Below are 17,437 nucleotides of genomic sequence, written 5' to 3' on the forward strand. Positions count from 1 at the left end.
TTTTTTCAGACAAAGTCTTGCTCTGTTGCCCAGGCTGGAGTGCAATGGCGCAATCTCAGCTCACTGCCACCTCCGCCTCCCAGGTTCAAGTGATTCTCTTGCTTCAGACTCCCGAGTAGCTGGGATTACAGGCGCCCACCACCATGACTGGCTAATTTTTGTATTTTTAGTAGAGACAGCATTTTGCCACGTTGGCCAGGCTGGTCTCAAACTCCTGACCTCAGGTGATCCGCCCACCTCGGCCTCTCAAAATGCTGGGATTACAGATGTGAGCCACCACACCTGGCCTGGATACCAGCTTTTTGTCTGAAAGGTGTTTTGAAAAGATTTTCTCACAATCTATAGCTTCTCTTTTTGTTCTCTTAAACATCTGATTTTCCTATCACTCCTCCCCATGCAAAATATACATTTTTTAACTGGATCTTGCCAGGGATTTCAGAGTGAGAACAAGAGTCAGACCTGGCCAATCTGAGTGCTTCATGACCTTGGTTATGATGTGCAGTAGTTTGGATGTATGTCCCATCCAATTTTTTTTTTTTTTTTTTTTGAGACAGAGTTTTGCTTTGTCACCCAGGCTGGAGTGCAGTTGCACAATCTTGGCTCAGTGCAACCTCCACCTCCTGGGTTCAAGTGACCCTTCTGCCTCCGCCTCCTGAGTAGCTGGGATTACAGGCACATGCCACGCCCGGCTAATTTTTGTATTTTTAGGAGAGACGGGGTTTTCCCGTGTTGGCCAGGCTGCCTTCTAAATTTCGTTGTTGAAATTTGATCCCCAATGTTGGAGATGGGGTCCTAATGAGAGGTGTTTGGGTCACAGGGGTGGACCCCTCACAAATAGATTAATGCCCTCCCTGGGAGTGTGGGTGAGTGAGTTCTTCCTCCATTAGTTCCCATTAGAGTTGGTTGTTAAAGAGAGGCTGACACTTGCCTCTCTTGCTTCCTCTATTGTCACGTGATCCCTGCTTTCTTTCTCCTTCCACCAAGAGTAGAAGCAGCTCAAGACTTTCTCTGTATGCCCAATCTTCCAGCCAGAAGAATCATAAGCCAAATACACCTTTTTCTCTTTATAAATTACCCAGCCTCGTGGATCACTTTAGGTCAGGCGTTCGAGACCAGCCTGGCTAACACGGTGAAACCCTGTCTCTACTAAAAATACAAAAAATTAGCCAGGTGTGGTGGCGGGCACCTGTCATACCAGCTACACTGGAGGCAGGAGAATCACTTGTACCTGGGAGGCGGACATTGTAGTGAGCCAAGATTGCACCACTGCACTCTAGCCTGGGTGACAGAGCAAGATCCTGTCTCAAAAAAAAAAAATAAATAAATAAAAATAAAAATTACCCAGCGTCAGGTTTTCCTTTATAGCAAGACAACATGGACTAAGACACATGGTTACTATAGAAATGGACATGTGACCCAAGTTGGACCAATGAGAGCTAACCTTGAGACTTTGGTATCACCATTCAGGAAAGCAGTACCTCTTTTCTGCTAGGTTGTTAAAATGATAGTATGGAAACTTTGAGCTGCTGTGGGCCCTGTTTGTCACCGTGAGGGAAGAGATTCTGCCTGAGAGGAAAGTCAAGATACAGAAAAGTAAAGCCCAGATGGGAAATGAGCTGTATTGCTAAAGATTCATTTTAGTGCCTGGATCCAGTTATGCCTGAAGCTAGTTATACAGCTCGGTTCTATAAGTCAACAAATTCCCTTTGTTAAAAACAAAAAAAAGCCAGAGTACTTTCCAGAGAGCAAGGCTTATTATAATAATAATTAAAGCAGCATACTCTTGCGAGGAAAAACAAATAGGCCAAAAGAACAAGACGGAAAAATCAGGAAAAGTTCACACATATATGGTAACTTGGTTTATGACAAAAGCAACATTTCAGTGCAGTGAGAAGCAAAAGATGATCTTTTTGAATCAATAGGGCTGAGCCAGTTGATAGCCATATGACCTCTACCTCACACCATACACAAAAATTGATTCCAGATGTGTTGTAGATCTAAATGTTAAAGCTTAAACAATAAAACTTCTAGAAGAAAATATCATAGAGTATCTTCAGAACCTTCAGGGTAAGAAAATATTTCTTTTATTTACTTGTTTGTGTTAATAGAGATAGGGTCTCGCTATGTTGCCCAGGCTGGTCTCGAACTCCTAGGCTCATGTGATCCTCCCTCCTCAGCCTCCCAAAGTGCTGAGATTACAGGCATGAGCCAGTGTGCCTGGCCAGAAAATATTTCTTAAACCAGAAACAAAGGAGCCTTAACTATAAAGGAAAATGTTGATAAATTGGACTATATTAAAATAGAAACTGATCCTTATCAAAAAATACCACTAAGAGAATGAAAAGAGAAGCCAGAGAGTGGGAGAAGAATATGTATTCTAACAAAAGACTCATAAGAAAAATAAAGAAAGAACTACTAACCTGTTTTTTAAAAAAGGCAGAAAAACCAGTCAAAAAGTGGACAAATGGCGTGAATTGACATTTCACAAAGTAGCATATTCATATGGCCAATTAATATTTGAAATGGTGTTAAATTTCTTTCTATTTTTTTTTTTTTTTGAGACTGAGTCTCGCTCTGTCTCCCAGGCTGGAGTGCAGTGGCGTGATCTTGGCTCACTGCAAGCTCCGCCTTCCGGGTTCACGCCATTCTCCTGCCTCAGCCTCCTGAGTAGCTGGGACTACAGGCACCCGCCACCGCGCCCAGCTAATTTTTTGTATTTTTAGTAGAGACGGGGTTTCACCGTGGTCTCGATCTCCTGACCTCGTGATCCACCCGCCTCGGCCTCCCAAAGTGCTGGGATTACAGGCATGAGCCACTGCGCCTGGCCCGAAACGGTGTTAAATTTCTTTAGGCATTGGGCTAAAGGTAAATTAAAACCATAATAAAACACGGCTACAGCCCCACCAGAATTGCTAAAATTGAAAGGACTAACAATACCAAATGTTGGCGAGCAACTGAAATTCTCAGAGACTGCTAGTGGGTGTATAAATGGAGAAAATTAGTTTGAAAACCTGGTTGGCAGTGTCTATGAAGGATGAACATGAAGCTGGGAATGGTGACTCACGCCTGTAATTCCAACACTTCGGGAGGCGGCAGATCACCTGAGGTCAAGACCAGCCTGGCCACTCCCATCTCAAAAAAAAAAAAAAGATGAACATGCACACACCATGTATACACCCTGGGACCCAGCAATTACACTTCTAGGTATATACCCAACAGAAATACAGAAATGCCTACATATGTTCACCAAAATTCAATGTATATAGCAGTACTATAAGTGATCATGCCAAATCAGAAGGCACCTAAATGTCAATCAACAGTAGAATGGATACATAGATTATTATGTATTCCCATAACACACTTTTTTTTTTTTGAGACAAGATTGTCCTCTGTCACCCAGGCTGTAGTGCAGTGGTGTGATCTCAGCTCACTGCAATTTCTGCCTCCCAAGCTCAAGCCATCCTCCCACCTCAGCTTCCCAAGTAGCTGAGATGACAGGCACGCACCACCACACCCCACTAATTTTTGTATTTTTTTTGTAGAGACGGGGTCTTGCTATGTTGCTCAGGCTGGTCTTGAACTCCTGTGCTCAAGCTATCTGCTTGCCTCACCCTCCTAAAGTGCTAGGATTATAGGCATGAGCCACCATGCCTGGCTCATAACACACTCTTATACAGCAATGACAATGAACAACCTCCAACAATCAGCAACTACATGGACAAATCTCATAGACGTATGATGAATAAAACAATTCAGGCCAGGTGCAATGGCTCACGCCTGTAATTCCAACACTCTGGGAGGCCGAGATGGGCAGATCACAAGGTCAAGAAATAGAAACCATCCTGGCCAACATGGTGAAACCCTGTCTCTACTAAAAATACAAAAAATTAGCCGGGTGTGGTAGTGCGCACCTGTAATCCCAGCTACTCAGGAGGCTGAGGCAGGAGAATCGTTTGAACCTGGGAGGCGAAGGTTGCAGTGAGCTGAGATCATGCCACTGCACTCCAGCCTGGTGACAGAGCGACTCTCCGTCTCAAAAAAAAAAAAAAAAAAAAAAGAGAGAATTCCAACACACAAGTCTCTATGCTTGTAGGATTCCAAGCAGATTAAGATAAAAAACAAGGCAAACTAACTTATGGTGTCAGAAATCAGGGTAGTAGTTACTTTTGAGGTAAAGAAGTGACTGACAAGGGGCCGGGCGCGGTGGCTTACGCTTGTAATCCCAGCACTTTGGGAGGCCGAGGTGGGCAGATCATGAGGTCAGGAGATCGAGACCATCCTGGCTAACACGGTGAAACCCCGTCTCTACTAAAAATACAAAAAAATTAGCCATGCATAGTGGCAGGCGCCTGTAGTCCCGGCTACTCGGGAGGCCGAGGCAGGAGAATGGCGTGAACCCAGGAGGCGGAGCTTGCAGTGAGCCGAGATAGCGCCACTGCACTCCAGGCGAGACTCTGTCTCAAAAAAAAAAAAAACACAAAAAAGTGACTGACAAGGAGCATGAGGGGTTTGGAGAGCTGGTAATGTTCTAGTTCCTGACCCAGGGCTGGTTACCCATGGTTACATGGTGTGCTCAGTCTGTTATCTGATCCATACTTACTGGGTATTTGTGAGTTTCTTTGTGAGTATGTTGTACTTCAATAATTGTTTTTTTGAAACTGGGTCTCTGTCATCCAGACTGGACTGCAGTGGCTCAACCATGGCTCACTGCAGCCTTGACCTCCTGGGCTCAAGCGATCCTCCCACCTGAGTAGCTGGGACTACAGGTGCACACCATGGCACTTGGCTATTTATATATATATATATATTTAAAGAGATGGAGTCTTGCTATGTTGCCAAGGCTGGGTCTCGAACTCCTGGGCTCTAGTGATCCTCCCATCTTAGCCTCTCAAAGTGCTGGGATTACAGGCATGAGCCACCGAGCTTGGCAATAATTTTTTAAAAGGCCAGTTTTTTGTCTCTTGAAAGTGGAGGAGTCTTGGCAAGTCCAGCAAATGGCATATACTATTTTGTTTCTCTTCCCTCCCCTTTCAAGTGAGAATTGTGATTGTTTTCTTGTTTTTCCTCCACTGTTATACACAGGGGTGGGTTGCTGAGGGGGCTACAATTTCATTTAACATTAATTTTTTTTTTAGATGGAGTCTTGCTCTGTCACCAGGCTGGAGTGCAGTGGCACAATCTCCGCTGACTGCAACCTCCGCCTCCCAGGTTCAAGTGATTCTTCTGCCTCGGCCTCCCGAGTAGCTGGGATTATAGGTGTGTGCCACCATGCCGGGCTAATTTTTGTACTTTTAGTAGAGACAGGGTTTCACCATGCTGGCCAGGCTGGTCTTGAACTCCTGACCTCAGGTGATCCACTTGCCTTGGCCTCCCAAAGTGCTGGGATTACAGGTGTGAGCTACCGTGCCCAGCCTTAACATTAATTTTCAGGATCAAGAGAGACTCCATGTGCCCTTGATGAAAGGAATAGCCAATATCCAGAAATCTTGGTCTGAGGATTGGATGTGGCTTTGGGATCCCTCCCTTTGCAGAAGGGGTGAAAGCTTCTGCAGTTGCACTAGAGATAGTTATGTTAGGTGGGAGTATTAGTTTTAGCCAACTTTATCAAAATATAATTTGTGTACAAGAAAATGTATCAATATTTCAAAAAGATATTTGCAACACACTTTCATAGCAGCATTATTTACAATACCCAAAAGGTGAAGGAGGCAACCCAGCTGTTCATCAACAAATAAATGGTTCGACAAAATGTGGTATATACACATAATGGATTTTTTTTTTTGAGATGGAGTCTCGCTCTGTCGCCCAGGCTAGAGTGCAGGGGTGCGATCTTGGCTCACTGCAACCTCCGCCTCCCAGGTTTAAGTGATTCCCCTGCCTCAGCCTCCCGAGTAGCTGGGACTATAGGCGCCTGCCACCACGCCCGGCTAATTTTTTGTAGTTTAGTAGAGATGGGGTTTCACCATGTTGACCAGGATGGTCTCGATCTCCTGACCTCGTGATCCGCCTGCCTCTTCCTCCCAAAGTGCTGGGATTACAGGTGTGAGTCACTGTGCCTGGCCCATAATGGAAAATTATTTAACCTTAAAAAGGAAGGAAATGCTAACACATGCTACAACATGGGTGAAGCCTGAGGACATTCATGCTAAGTGAAACAATCCCATCACAAAAAGACAGATGCTGTATGATTCCACTTACATGAGGTACCTAGAGTAGTCAAATTCATAGGGAATTTCCCAGAGAGTAGAACGTGCTTCCCAGGGGCTGGGAAGGGAAGGCAGTGGGAGTTGCTTGATGGGAACAGTTTCAATTCTACAAGAGGAAAGAGTGGAGATGAGTAGGGGTGATGATTGCACAACAATGCAACTGTACACTTAAAATTGGCTAAGTCCTGGGGAGGTGGCTCATGCCTGTAATCTCAGCTACTCTGGAAGCTGAGGCAGGAGAATCGCTTGAACCGGGGAAGTGGAGGTTGCAGTGAGCCAAGATCATGCCATTGCACTCCAGCCTGGGCATTGCAGCGAGACTCCGTCTCAAAAAAAAAAAATTGGCTAAGATGATAAAGTTTGTGTTATGTGTATTTTGCAACAATGTACAAGAATTTAAATGAACCAATTTTAAGCGCAATGAATTTTGACAAATGTATTCGGTTGTGTGATCACTTCCATCATCCGGAAAGTTTCCCTGTGTCCACTAGTAATCAGTCTCTCCATAACCACTGCCACTGCCCCCAGTCAACCACTAATCCATTTTCTGCCCCTGCGTATTAGCCTTTTCTTTTCTCTTTTCTTCTCTTCTCTTCTTTTCTTTTCTTTTACTCTGTCACCCAGGCTGGAGTTCAGTGGTGTGATCTCAGCTCACTACAACCTCCGCCTCCCAGGTTCAAGCCATTCTCCTGCCTCAGCCTCCAAAGTAGCTGGGATTACAGGCACTCGCTACCACACCCGGTTAATTTTTGTATTTTTAGTAGAGATGGGGTTTTACCATGTTGGCCAGGCTGGTCTTGAACTCCTGACCTCGTGATCCACCTGCCTTGGCCTCCCAAAGTGCTGGGATTACAGGGTGAGCCACTGTGCCTGGCCTCTGGCGTCTTTCTTTCTTTCTCTTTCTTTTCTTTTCTTTTCTTTTTTCTTTCTTTCTCTCTCTCTCCTTCCTTCCTTCCTTCCTTCCTTCCTTCCTTCCTTCCTTCCTTCCTTCCTTCCTTCCTTCTCTCTCTCTCTTTCTTTCTCTCTTTTTTGAGTTGGAGTCTCACTCTGTTGCCCAGGCTGGAGTGCAGTGGCATGATCGGCTCACTGCAACCTCCGCCTCCCGATTCTCCTACCTCAGCCTCCCAAGTAGCTGGGATTACAGGTGCCAGGCTGCTTTTGAACTTCTGATCTCAAGTAATCCGCCTGCCTCAGCCTCCCAAAGTGCTAGGATTACAGGCGTGAGCCACCATGCCCTGCCCATATTAGTGTTTTCTTTCTACAGTTTCACAAAAGTGGAATCCTACAGCATATACCCTTGTATCTGGCTGTATCACACGGCATCATGTTTTTGAGATGCAGGGCAGCAGTGCCATCACAGCTCACTGCAGCCTCAAACTCCTGGGCTCAAGTGATCCTCCTGCCTCAGCCACCAGAGTAGCTGGGACTACAGGTGAGCACCATCATGCCTGGATAATTTTATTATTATTATTATTATTATTATTATTATTATTATACCTGGATAATTTTATTATTATTATTATTATTATTATTATTATTATTATTATTATTACTACTACTACTACTACTATTATTTGTAGAGACAGGGTCTTGCTATGCTGCCCAGGCTGGTCTCGAACTCCTGAGCTCGAGCAATACTCCCACCTCGACCTCCAAAGTAGCTGGAACTACAAGTGAACATCACCATGCCCGGCCAATTTTTTTTTTTTTTTTTAAGAGAATCTCACCATATTACCTGGTCTCAAACTCCTGGGCTTGAGCGATCCTCCTGCCTCAGCCTCCCAAAGTGCTGGGATTTACAGGCATGAGCCACTGTGCCTGGTGGTTACTACCACATTGACTTCAGACTTCTGGCCTCCAGAGCTGTGAGAGAATAAATTTCTGTTGTTTTCAGCTAGGTTATTGTAACTTGTTACATCAGTCCTAGCAAACTGACACAGTGATTGGACCAATTTTTGCAGTGGGAGTTTTTGAAATGTTGTGTCCCGGAATGTAGATGTGAATTAGTGTGAAGTAGCTGAGGGTAGAATGTAGTGGACACCTACTGCTTTGAGGGACTGTCCCTTGCCCATTGCCGTGTGATTCACTTGGAACTGTCAGTCAAGGGACCCCTACATATATGGCTTCCAGGAGATGAATTCATCCCTCCAGCAAAAAGGGATGAGGTGCAGAGGGGCTTTGGACCAATCCTGGGCAAGATGGGCAGGGGAGGAGGAGGAGGAGTCAGCAAAGGCAGGAGGCGGGCCCAAGAGTAGGCTCCAAACTGGACCCAATGATTGGCCCGGGGTGTCTCCAAGGTCTGCGCTGGACCAATCAGAATCCTGTTCCTGAATGACACAGCAGCTGGGAGCCAGCTGATTCTCACATTGTTTCCTCTGAAGTTATCTGCTCTGAAGGCAATTACAAGTCCTGTTAATTTCTTGCAATGGCAGCAGATCCTGTTAATTTCCTACCCAACAATAGTTCCCCTCCCCGTGCTTCCTCTAGGCAAAGCCCGCACCCCACCATGGGGACTGGAAATGACAGATGTTCACTACCCAGACCGCTTTGCAACTCGGGGTAGCCACACAGCCGGGTTCTGGCAAGAGAGAAATAAGGAGAATTATTCTGAGGAGGAAAAATGGGGAACACAGAAGGGGAGGCCCCGGTCTACACTGCCTGATTTAGATGCCAGTGTGTGAAAACATGATGCTGCTATAGACAGTTTGTACTCAGGAGGGGAACGAACACCAGTCTCAGAGATGCCAACCAGAGCCTAATGTTGTTGAGCAGCTGAACCAACCCTGGGACTGTCTTTGAAAAATTTGATATGCAAACATGCAAAAAAATCTTTCTCTTTCAGTTGGGAAGTTTTTTTTTTTTTTTTCAGCCGAAGGTATCATAACAGATACAGCATTATACACCTGGAGCTCCAAGTGACCATCTCATTGCCACTGCAAACACCTACCCGAGAGAGAAGCCAATAGCCAGGCGCGGTGGCTCACGCCTGTAATCCCAGCACTTTGGGAGGCCAAGGCGGGCAGATCACAGGAGGTCAGCAGTTTGAGACCGGCCTGCCAACATGGTGAAACCCCGTCTCTACTAAAAATACAAAAAATTAGCCAGGCGTGGTGGCGAGCGGCTGTAATCCCAGCTACTCAGGAGGCCGAGGCAGGAGAATTGCTTGAAACCGCGAGGTTGCAGTGAGCCGAGATCACACCACTGCACTCCAGCCTGGGCAACAAGAGTGAAACTCCATCCAAAAAAAAAAAGAGGAAAGCAGAAGTGAGAGTCCCTTGAACAGCCTGAAGTCCCTCTGTGTTCAATGTGTTCATAGGCTTTCCATGGACAGAGGTCTTTCAATTCTGTTTATGGCTTTGGGTTGAATTTTGTGTTCTGTACTCACAATGATCCTGACTAACACCATTTTTATAAACTGAGGCTCAGAGAGATCATTAAGTTGCCCAGTCATTGAAAGAAACACAAATTTGTCTGCTTGCAGAGCCAGCATGTTCCAATCCGGTTTCCCAGTCTCAGAGAGGACAGGAGGCCCAGTTGGAGTGAGACCCACAGAGTGTGTTTATTCTGGCGTTGATAGCAGCAGCAGTGGGGGGACCGGCCAGACGCAGGGGTGTGGCGAACAGAAGGGGTGGACACAGGTGTGTGTGTGTCTGAAAGGACAGAGAGGATTGGCCCATTGACATTCACGGCGAGAACAAGGGTCGGGACACTGAGTCTTGGACAAACAGCAAAGAGACAGAGACAGACAGAGGGTTTTGGGGGGCAGGGGTCCCCCAGACATGCATGGCCCCTCGCCTCGAGGGGGAGCCCCAGGGAAGAAAAGACAGACACAGTGGAGGCTGAATGACCCCCACCCTGAAAGAAGGAGCTGGGCCGGCCTCCTCTCATCCTCTCGCTTCCAGGGTTAGGAAGCCTAGGGCCAGGGCTGCCCCGCACCAGCAGCTCGGACGTTATGGCTTCAAGGAGATGAATTCACGGTCCGGGCAGGAAAGGATGGGGTCCTGAGGGAGCCTGGTCCGATCCCGGGCCTAGGCCAGACCTGCACGATGGAGCAGGAAAGGAGGGGTCAGCAATGGCAGAGAACTGCACCACGACCTCCTGTAGCTCCATCACCACCCAGAGATCCAGGAGTCCCAGGCGCAGCCCCTCCTCCCTCAGACCCAGGAGTCCAGGCCCCCAGCCCCTCCTCCCTCAGACGCAGGCATCTCCACCCCCAGCCCCTTCCCTGTGGCCAGGCTGCTTACCCCTCACTCGGAGTTCTCTTTCTCTGATAGTCCTTTGCTGCCTTTTGTGAAGCTGGTCACAGTCTTTTCCTAAAGGAGAAAGTGCAGAAGGTTCGGGAGTGAGAGACAGAGAGTTGAAACAGATGCTAATCATCAACAGGAGAAGACGTCAATCCTGTTTCATTATTTAGGATGCGCTTTCTCACTTGGCCCTGAAGTGACGGACAGATGGTATTACAATTCCATTCTACAGATGGGGAAATGGAGGCACAAAAAAGAGGAGTCTCTGCAAATGCGAGGAGAGATGAGGCTGTAGGGATGAGTGGGGCAAGTCCTGCATGGTATCAGAGGGGCTGAGACTCTGTCCTGGGGCCACTGGGGAGCCACGGGAGGGCTGTGAGCAAGGAAGGGGAGGGGAAGCTCTGGGTGTAGAAGGATCTTCTGGGGCCACAGGGAGCATGAGGGGCTGAAATTCATGGGCAGTGTCAGGACTCGGCCTAGACTCTGTGCCACCAGCGTTGCCCAACATGGGCAGTGGCTCACCAGAAACTCCTGGGAAGGTTGGTGGGATGAATTAATGAACGGATGAATGAGTGAATGACAGGAGGAGGGAGTAGCCTCCATCCTATCCACCTTAGTAGAGTCCCCGTCTTTTCCAATCTCAAATCTGAGTTCTGTGCCCAGGTGTCGGGTCCCTCATGATCACTGGAAAAAAGCCCACAGCAGGGCCAGACTAAATCTGGTGATGTGGTGAAAGTTTCACCCAGTACTAAATGTAAATGTGTGCCCCAAATGCAGCAATCAAGATAAAGAATATTTCATGCAATATTGGCCAGGCGCGGTGGCTCACGCCTATAATCCCAGCACTTTGGGAGCCCAAGGTGGGTGGATCACTTGAGGTGGGAAGTTGAGACCAGCCTGGACAACATGGCAAAACCCTGTCTCTACAAAAAAAAAAAAAAAAAAAAAAAAAAAAAAAAAAAAAAATTAGCAGGGTGAGGTGGCACACGCCTGTAGTCCCAGCTACTTGGGAGGCTGAAGCAGGAGAATCACTTGTACTCAGGGAGGGGGAGGTTGCAGTGAGCCAAGACTGCAACACTGCACTCCAGCCTGGGTGACAGAGTGAGACTCTGTCTCAATAATAACAATAATAATAATAATGCAAGATTTTAAAAAAAATCAAAATTAATGCAAAAAAATCAATGATGAAGAAAATATCAAATTTTTAAAAAAGGCCAGTCTCATGCCACATCAGACTGCTATTTCAAAGGAAATGTATGTGCCCTCATATACTTGCTTTTTTTTTTTTTTTAAGGAGAGGGGTTCCTGCTCCATTGCCCAGGCTGGAGTGTGGTGGTGAGATCATAGCTCACTGCAGTAACAAACTCCTGGGCTCAAGAGATCCTCCTGCCTCAGCCTCCTGAGTAGCAGGGACTATAAGCACACACTACCATGCCTAGCTAATTCCTAAATTATTTTTGTAGAGACAGGCTCTCCCCATGTTGCTCAGGCTAGTCTTAAACTCCCAGGCTCAAGTGATCCACCCACCTTGGCCTCCCAAGGCCTGTGCTGGGATTTCAGGCATGAGCCACTGTGCCCTGCCCAAGTTTTTATATATTTTTTCTAAATTTATTTTTCCTGGAATGCTAAACTAGTTGAAAAATACTGAAAAATGAAGTAAGTGTGTTGAAATTCACAACATTATTTTACATTTAAATCTTTCATATATACCCTAGACAGAATTTGAATAATTTGACTTTCTTGGCTTTTAATGGAGGCAAATCTGCCAATAACACTTTCTAAAGCTACTTCTTTGCTCCTCTTGTTTTCTATTGAGAGAATGGCCATGTTTGATTATTTCTCCTGATCAAGCGATAATCTTAAATGACTTTTTTTTTTTTTTTTGAGACAGAGTCTTGCTCTGTCGCCCAGGCTGGAGTGCAATGGCGCCACCTCAGCTCACCGCAACCTCTGCCTCCCAGGTTCAAGCGATTCTCCTGCCTCAGCCTCCCAAGTAGCTGGGATTACAGGCGTGCGCCACCACGCCCAGCTAATTTTGTATTTTTAGTAGAGACAGGGTTTCTCCATGTTGGTCAGGCTGGTCTCAAACTCCTGACCTCAGGTGATCCACCCTCCTCGGCCTCCCAAAGTGCTGGGATTACAGGCGTGAGCCACCACGCCCAGCCCCCTCTATTTTCAACTTAGCCTCATGGGTAACAACAGCAGCGACCACCTACAGAACGTTTAACTCAGCACATCTCACCTCTATCCTAACAGAAGATGCTATCAACAGTCCCATTTCCTAGTGGGTAAATTGAGGCACAGAGCGCTTGGGTAACTGGCTCTAAGCCGCACAGCTAAAGTTGGCACAGCAGGGATTGAAACCTAGGACGCCTGGCTCTGCGACTCACGAACATGCAGGGCGTTCGTTGCATGGATGAAGGGGCCGAGGGTGCACGGGTGCTTGTCAGGGGTCGGTGTGGGACCCCTACTCACCTCCACTAGCTGATGCCAGTGCTCCACGGGCTTGCGGGGATTGGCCAGCATCTCTGCCCAGTGCTCGCGGCCGTGCGGGTCGGCAGCGTCGGGGCCCACACGGCACACGCCGATCACCTCGTTGTGCCCGATGCTGGGGGTTGGGGTCAGTGAGGACCGTGGAGGGTGGTGGGAGGGCCTGTCCCCACCCCAGCCCTCCTGCCTGACCCCCGCCCGGGCCGCGCCCCTCACCAGTCGTAGTCTACCACGGCGATGCTGAGCCCCACGTTCTCCACGCTCTCGGGGGCCACGTCGAACACCAGCGCCTCATTATAGGTGGGGTTCAGCGTGTTCTTCTTGATGGAGGTTTTCCGCTTCTTCAGACGCCGCCCCTCGCTGATCAGGGAGGCCTTCACGTAGGGGTCTGGGAACAGCAATGAAGTAAGGAACAGAGACTCACTCCCTCAGACCTAGGGGTCCAGGACCCCAGGCCCCGAGCCCCTCCTCCCTCAGACCCAGAGGTCCGGGGCCCCAGGCCCCCAGTCCCTCCTTCCTCAGGCCCAAGAGTCCAGACCCCAGGTCCTCCTCTCTCCGACCCAGGAGTCCAGGCCCCTGGCCCCTCCTCCCTCAGACCCAGGAGTCCAGATCCCCAGCTCCTCCTCCCTCAGACCCAGGAGTCCAGGCCCCTGGCCCCTCCTCCCTCAGACCCAGGAGTCCAGGCCCCCAGCCCTCCTCCCTCAGACCCAGGACCCTCACCTGAGAAGCCAGTGAGGTCCATCGCTTTGAGGTTAGAGGCTTTGATGATGGTCACGGTGAGGCGCCCGGCCGTGGGGAGGTAGCAGAGTGAGAAGTTGAGCTCCCCAAGATCTGCTTTTTCCTGCAGTTGGGGAAAAGGTCAGCGATATCTTGCCTCAGCCCCTCTTCAACTCTCCCTGATTTTCTCTCCGGTCGGAGCCTCCTGCTTTACACCCTGACATCCAGGGCTCAGGCTTCCCATCCACTTAGCAATCTGACTCTTGGGACAAGGCCCAGTAATTCCCTGGCCACAGCTGCCCATGACCATCAAAGCTTATTTGTTCTGCAGGAAAGATTGGAAGAAGCATGAGTGAGGGGAGAGAGAGAGGAGGGGAGAGACAGAGAAGGTGAGAGAGAGAGAAAACACAAAGAGAAATAGACTGAGACAGAAGCCAAAACACGGAGGGATACAGCTGGAAAGACAGACCCACAGGCAAAGTTCTCAAGTCAGAGGGACAGAGGCCCAGAGACAGACACAGAGAGAGACCCAGAGAGAGGGAGACAGAGACCCAGAAAGAGAGGGAGACAGAGACCCAGAGAGAGAGGGGGACAGAGGCCCAGAGAGAGAGGGGGGGGGACAGAGACCCAGAGAGGAGGACAGAGACCCAGAGAGAGAGGAGGACAGAAGCCCAGAGAGAGAGGAGGACAGAGGCCCAGAAAGAGAGGGGGACAGAGACCCAGAGAGAGGAGGACAGACCCAGAGAGAGAAAGGGGCAGAGACCCAGACAGAGAGGGGGACAGAGACCCAGAGACAGAGAGATAGAGACCCAGAGAGAGACAGAAGCCCAGAGACAGGGGGTACAGAGACCCAGAGAGAGAAAGAGAGAGAGATATATATAGAGAGAGACTCAGAGAGAGACAGAGGCCCAGAGAGAGAGAGGGACAGAGACAGTGGGTTGGGGGTGCATAAAGACCCAGAGAGAGTGATAGTTACCTAGAATTAGAGTGGAGGGGCAGAGACCAGAGAGCGAGAGAGAAACCTAGACTCAGATACCCTACTCCCTGCACCAAGAGAAAGAGAGAGAGAGAGAGAGAGGCTGACTCAGACAGAGTGGGACAAAGACCAAGCAGACACACACACATAAACCAGCCTGAGAGAGGGCAGGAGATTCATCAACCTCCACCGAAGTTTCCAGGACTGCCCCCAACCCTGACACACAGGCTGGAGCCACGCTGGAGCTAGCTGGGAGCTTTGACCAACCTGGCCTAGCCCTGCGGCCTCCCAACTGTGCCCAGGACTCCCTACTCATTCCCCTCAGGGCATCTGCCCAGGCTGTCCCTCTGCCAGAACACTCTTCCCTCTATCTCTCCTTGGCCTTTGAGCCTCCCCTCGTTCCACAAGCTCCCAGATCCCCCACAGCCCTGCAGAGGCTCCTCCTGTGCCTCCCCATAACCCTGGCCCCTGACACAAGGCCCGACCATCTAGACCTGGAGCTGCCGAGGGCTGCCTGGGGTCCCCAGGCCCTGCTCCTGAAAAAAACAGTGGTTGAAGAAATGAATGAAGGCTGGGTGCAGTGGCTGATGCCTGTAATCCCAGCACTTTGGGAGGCTGAGGTGGGCGGTTAACCTGAGCTCAGGAGTTCGAGACCAGCCTGGCCAGCATGGCGAAACCCTGTCTCTACTAAAAATACAAAAATTAGCCGGGCATGGTGGCAGGTGCCTGTAATCCCAGCTACTTGGGTGACTGAAGCATGAGAATCACAATCACTTGAACCCGGGAGGTGGAGGTTGCAGTGAGCTGAGATTGCGCCACTGTACTCCAGCCTGGGTGACAGAGAGAGACTCTGTCTCAAAAAAAAAAAAAAAAAAATGAGAGAGAGAGAATGTATGAATCAATGGAATGAGTGAGGAAAACCTCAAGTGATGATGATGGAGAGAGAAAATGAGAAGGGTGAGCACAAGAATTAGGCCAGCATGGATACAGAGAGAAGGCCCTGGCATGGGGCTGCCATGGGTGATGACTGGGAGTAGGAGCTGGTGGAATACACAGGGGCCCTGGGACCTTGGAACTGGGCACTTCAATCTCAAAGGCTGGGCTTGGGGGCCAAGCAGGCAGGCTGGGGAGGGCCCCATGAAGAAGCCTACCCAAAGAGCTACCCAAAAAGCCTACCTGGCACCCAGCTCAACTGGACATCTGTCATTGAACAGATGGGGAAACTGAGGCTCAGAAAAGGAAAGAACCTTGAGGAGGTCTAGTCCTCTCCTGATATGAAGGCCGCCCTCCCCACAACACACACACAGCTACCCCAGATTGGCAGAGAACTGGAATGTTGGATAATCCACAAATTAGGTTGGAGCGGGGGCGCTGTAGAGTTGAGGATCTGAGATTTGGTGGGGCAGAAGAGCTCAGGACACACACACAAGAAGTACCTAAGAATGGGGCTGGGGAGGGATTGGAGGTACAGGGAGAATGAGATACCAGAGGGCAGGGGTCGCAAGGAATAAGGAAGAAGCCATTGGGCCCTATAATCTGGATGCTGGGAGAACTGAGGAGTGTCTGCATATTGGGGATCCCAGGATGGCTGAGGCCTGGGGGATCAAGCTATCAGCATTCGGGCAGGGACCATGAAAAAACAGAGGGTCAGAATATGAAAGAGTTCCAATGTCAGGGGTTGGGAAAATTCAGAAGTTCAGAGATTAGAGAGGGATTGGGGCTTTCAGAAGTTCAGAGATTAGAGAGGGACTGGGGCTTCCAGAAGTCCAGTCATTGGAAAGTCAGGAAGTTAGGAAGGTAAGAAGTCTGGGGTGAGAGGGGAGAAGTCATGGGGTTGAGGCAGGAAGGCATCCTATGGCAAAGCGGGTGAGAGGTTGGAAAATCGGATCCAGACCTGATGCTAACATTTGGCGATGTTGAGGAGAGGAATGGTGTCCACTGTATCATTATCTGTTCTTTTTTTTTTTTTTTTGAGACGGAGTTTCGCTCTTGTTGCCTACGCTGGAGTGCAATGGCATGATCTCTGCTCACCACAACCTCCACTTCCTGGTGCAAGCGATTCTCCTGCCTCATCCTCCTAAGTAGCTGGGATTACAGGCATGTGCCACCATGCCCGGCTAATTTTTGTATTTTTAGTAGAGATGGGGTTTCTCCATGTTGGCCAGGCTGGTCTCGAACTCCCAACCTCAAGTGATCTGCCCACCTGGCCTCCCAAAGTGCTGGGATTATAGGCATGAGCTACCGCGCCCGGCTCATTCTCTATTCTTGCCTGTAAGTTTGCAGTCTTCCCCAGTGTGATACATTTTAACAGAAAAATGTGGGGACAAGAAGTGAGGAAGTTATGAACTCTGAGGGCAGGGGGCTTGCAACCCGGGGGGTCTCAGGGCCCTGGGAAGGGGAAGGTCAGGGGAGAGGGCCACTGACCGAGCCGCCCTCCACGATGTCCCTCCAGAGCGGGCGGTCAGGGGGCTGCTCGGCCAGCTCCAGGAGGTTGTCCAGCACCACCTGGCCGATGAGGTCGTGCCGCGAGAAGCGGTCAAAGTCATAGACGCTGAAGTGCAGTTTGCGTTGGGCCAGCTCGGCCAGGGGCACCGAGAATTGAAACGTCTCATTGAAGACGGGGTTCAGGGTCTTCCTGTGCACCTGGTGGTGGTGGGCGACAGGAGACAGACACCGTGCCCATAAGCCCCTCCTCCACAGGATCCAGGAGTCCAGCCCCCAGCCCCTCCTCCCTCAGACCCAGGAGTCCAGGCCCCCAGCCCCTCCTCCCTCAGACCCGGGAGTCCAGGCCCCCAGCCCCTCCT

General features: G+C 49.4%; 1 protein-coding gene across 6 annotated transcripts in view; it reads right to left on the reverse strand.

Moving 5' to 3' along the window:
- Positions 1-9,740: 9,740 nt before the first annotated feature.
- The window catches only part of SYT3 (synaptotagmin 3), a 36,129-nt gene continuing 28,432 nt past the window's right edge, over positions 9,741-17,437 (reverse strand). For all 6 annotated transcript variants that reach the window (NM_001424346.1, NM_001160329.2, NM_001160328.2 and 3 more), the window contains 6 exons: positions 17,058-17,276; positions 13,661-13,781; positions 13,157-13,328; positions 12,926-13,058; positions 10,451-10,519; positions 9,741-10,245 (listed from right to left, as the gene is read on the reverse strand). In NM_001424346.1, the coding sequence (NP_001411275.1) occupies positions 10,454-10,519; positions 12,926-13,058; positions 13,157-13,328; positions 13,661-13,781; positions 17,058-17,276 (711 nt within the window). In that variant the 3' untranslated portion in view covers positions 9,741-10,245; positions 10,451-10,453. The remainder of the gene's footprint in view (positions 10,246-10,450; positions 10,520-12,925; positions 13,059-13,156; positions 13,329-13,660; positions 13,782-17,057; positions 17,277-17,437) is intronic.

This window comes from Homo sapiens, chromosome 19, assembly GCF_000001405.40.
Source record: "Homo sapiens chromosome 19, GRCh38.p14 Primary Assembly".
Classification (NCBI taxonomy): Eukaryota; Metazoa; Chordata; class Mammalia; order Primates; family Hominidae; genus Homo; species Homo sapiens.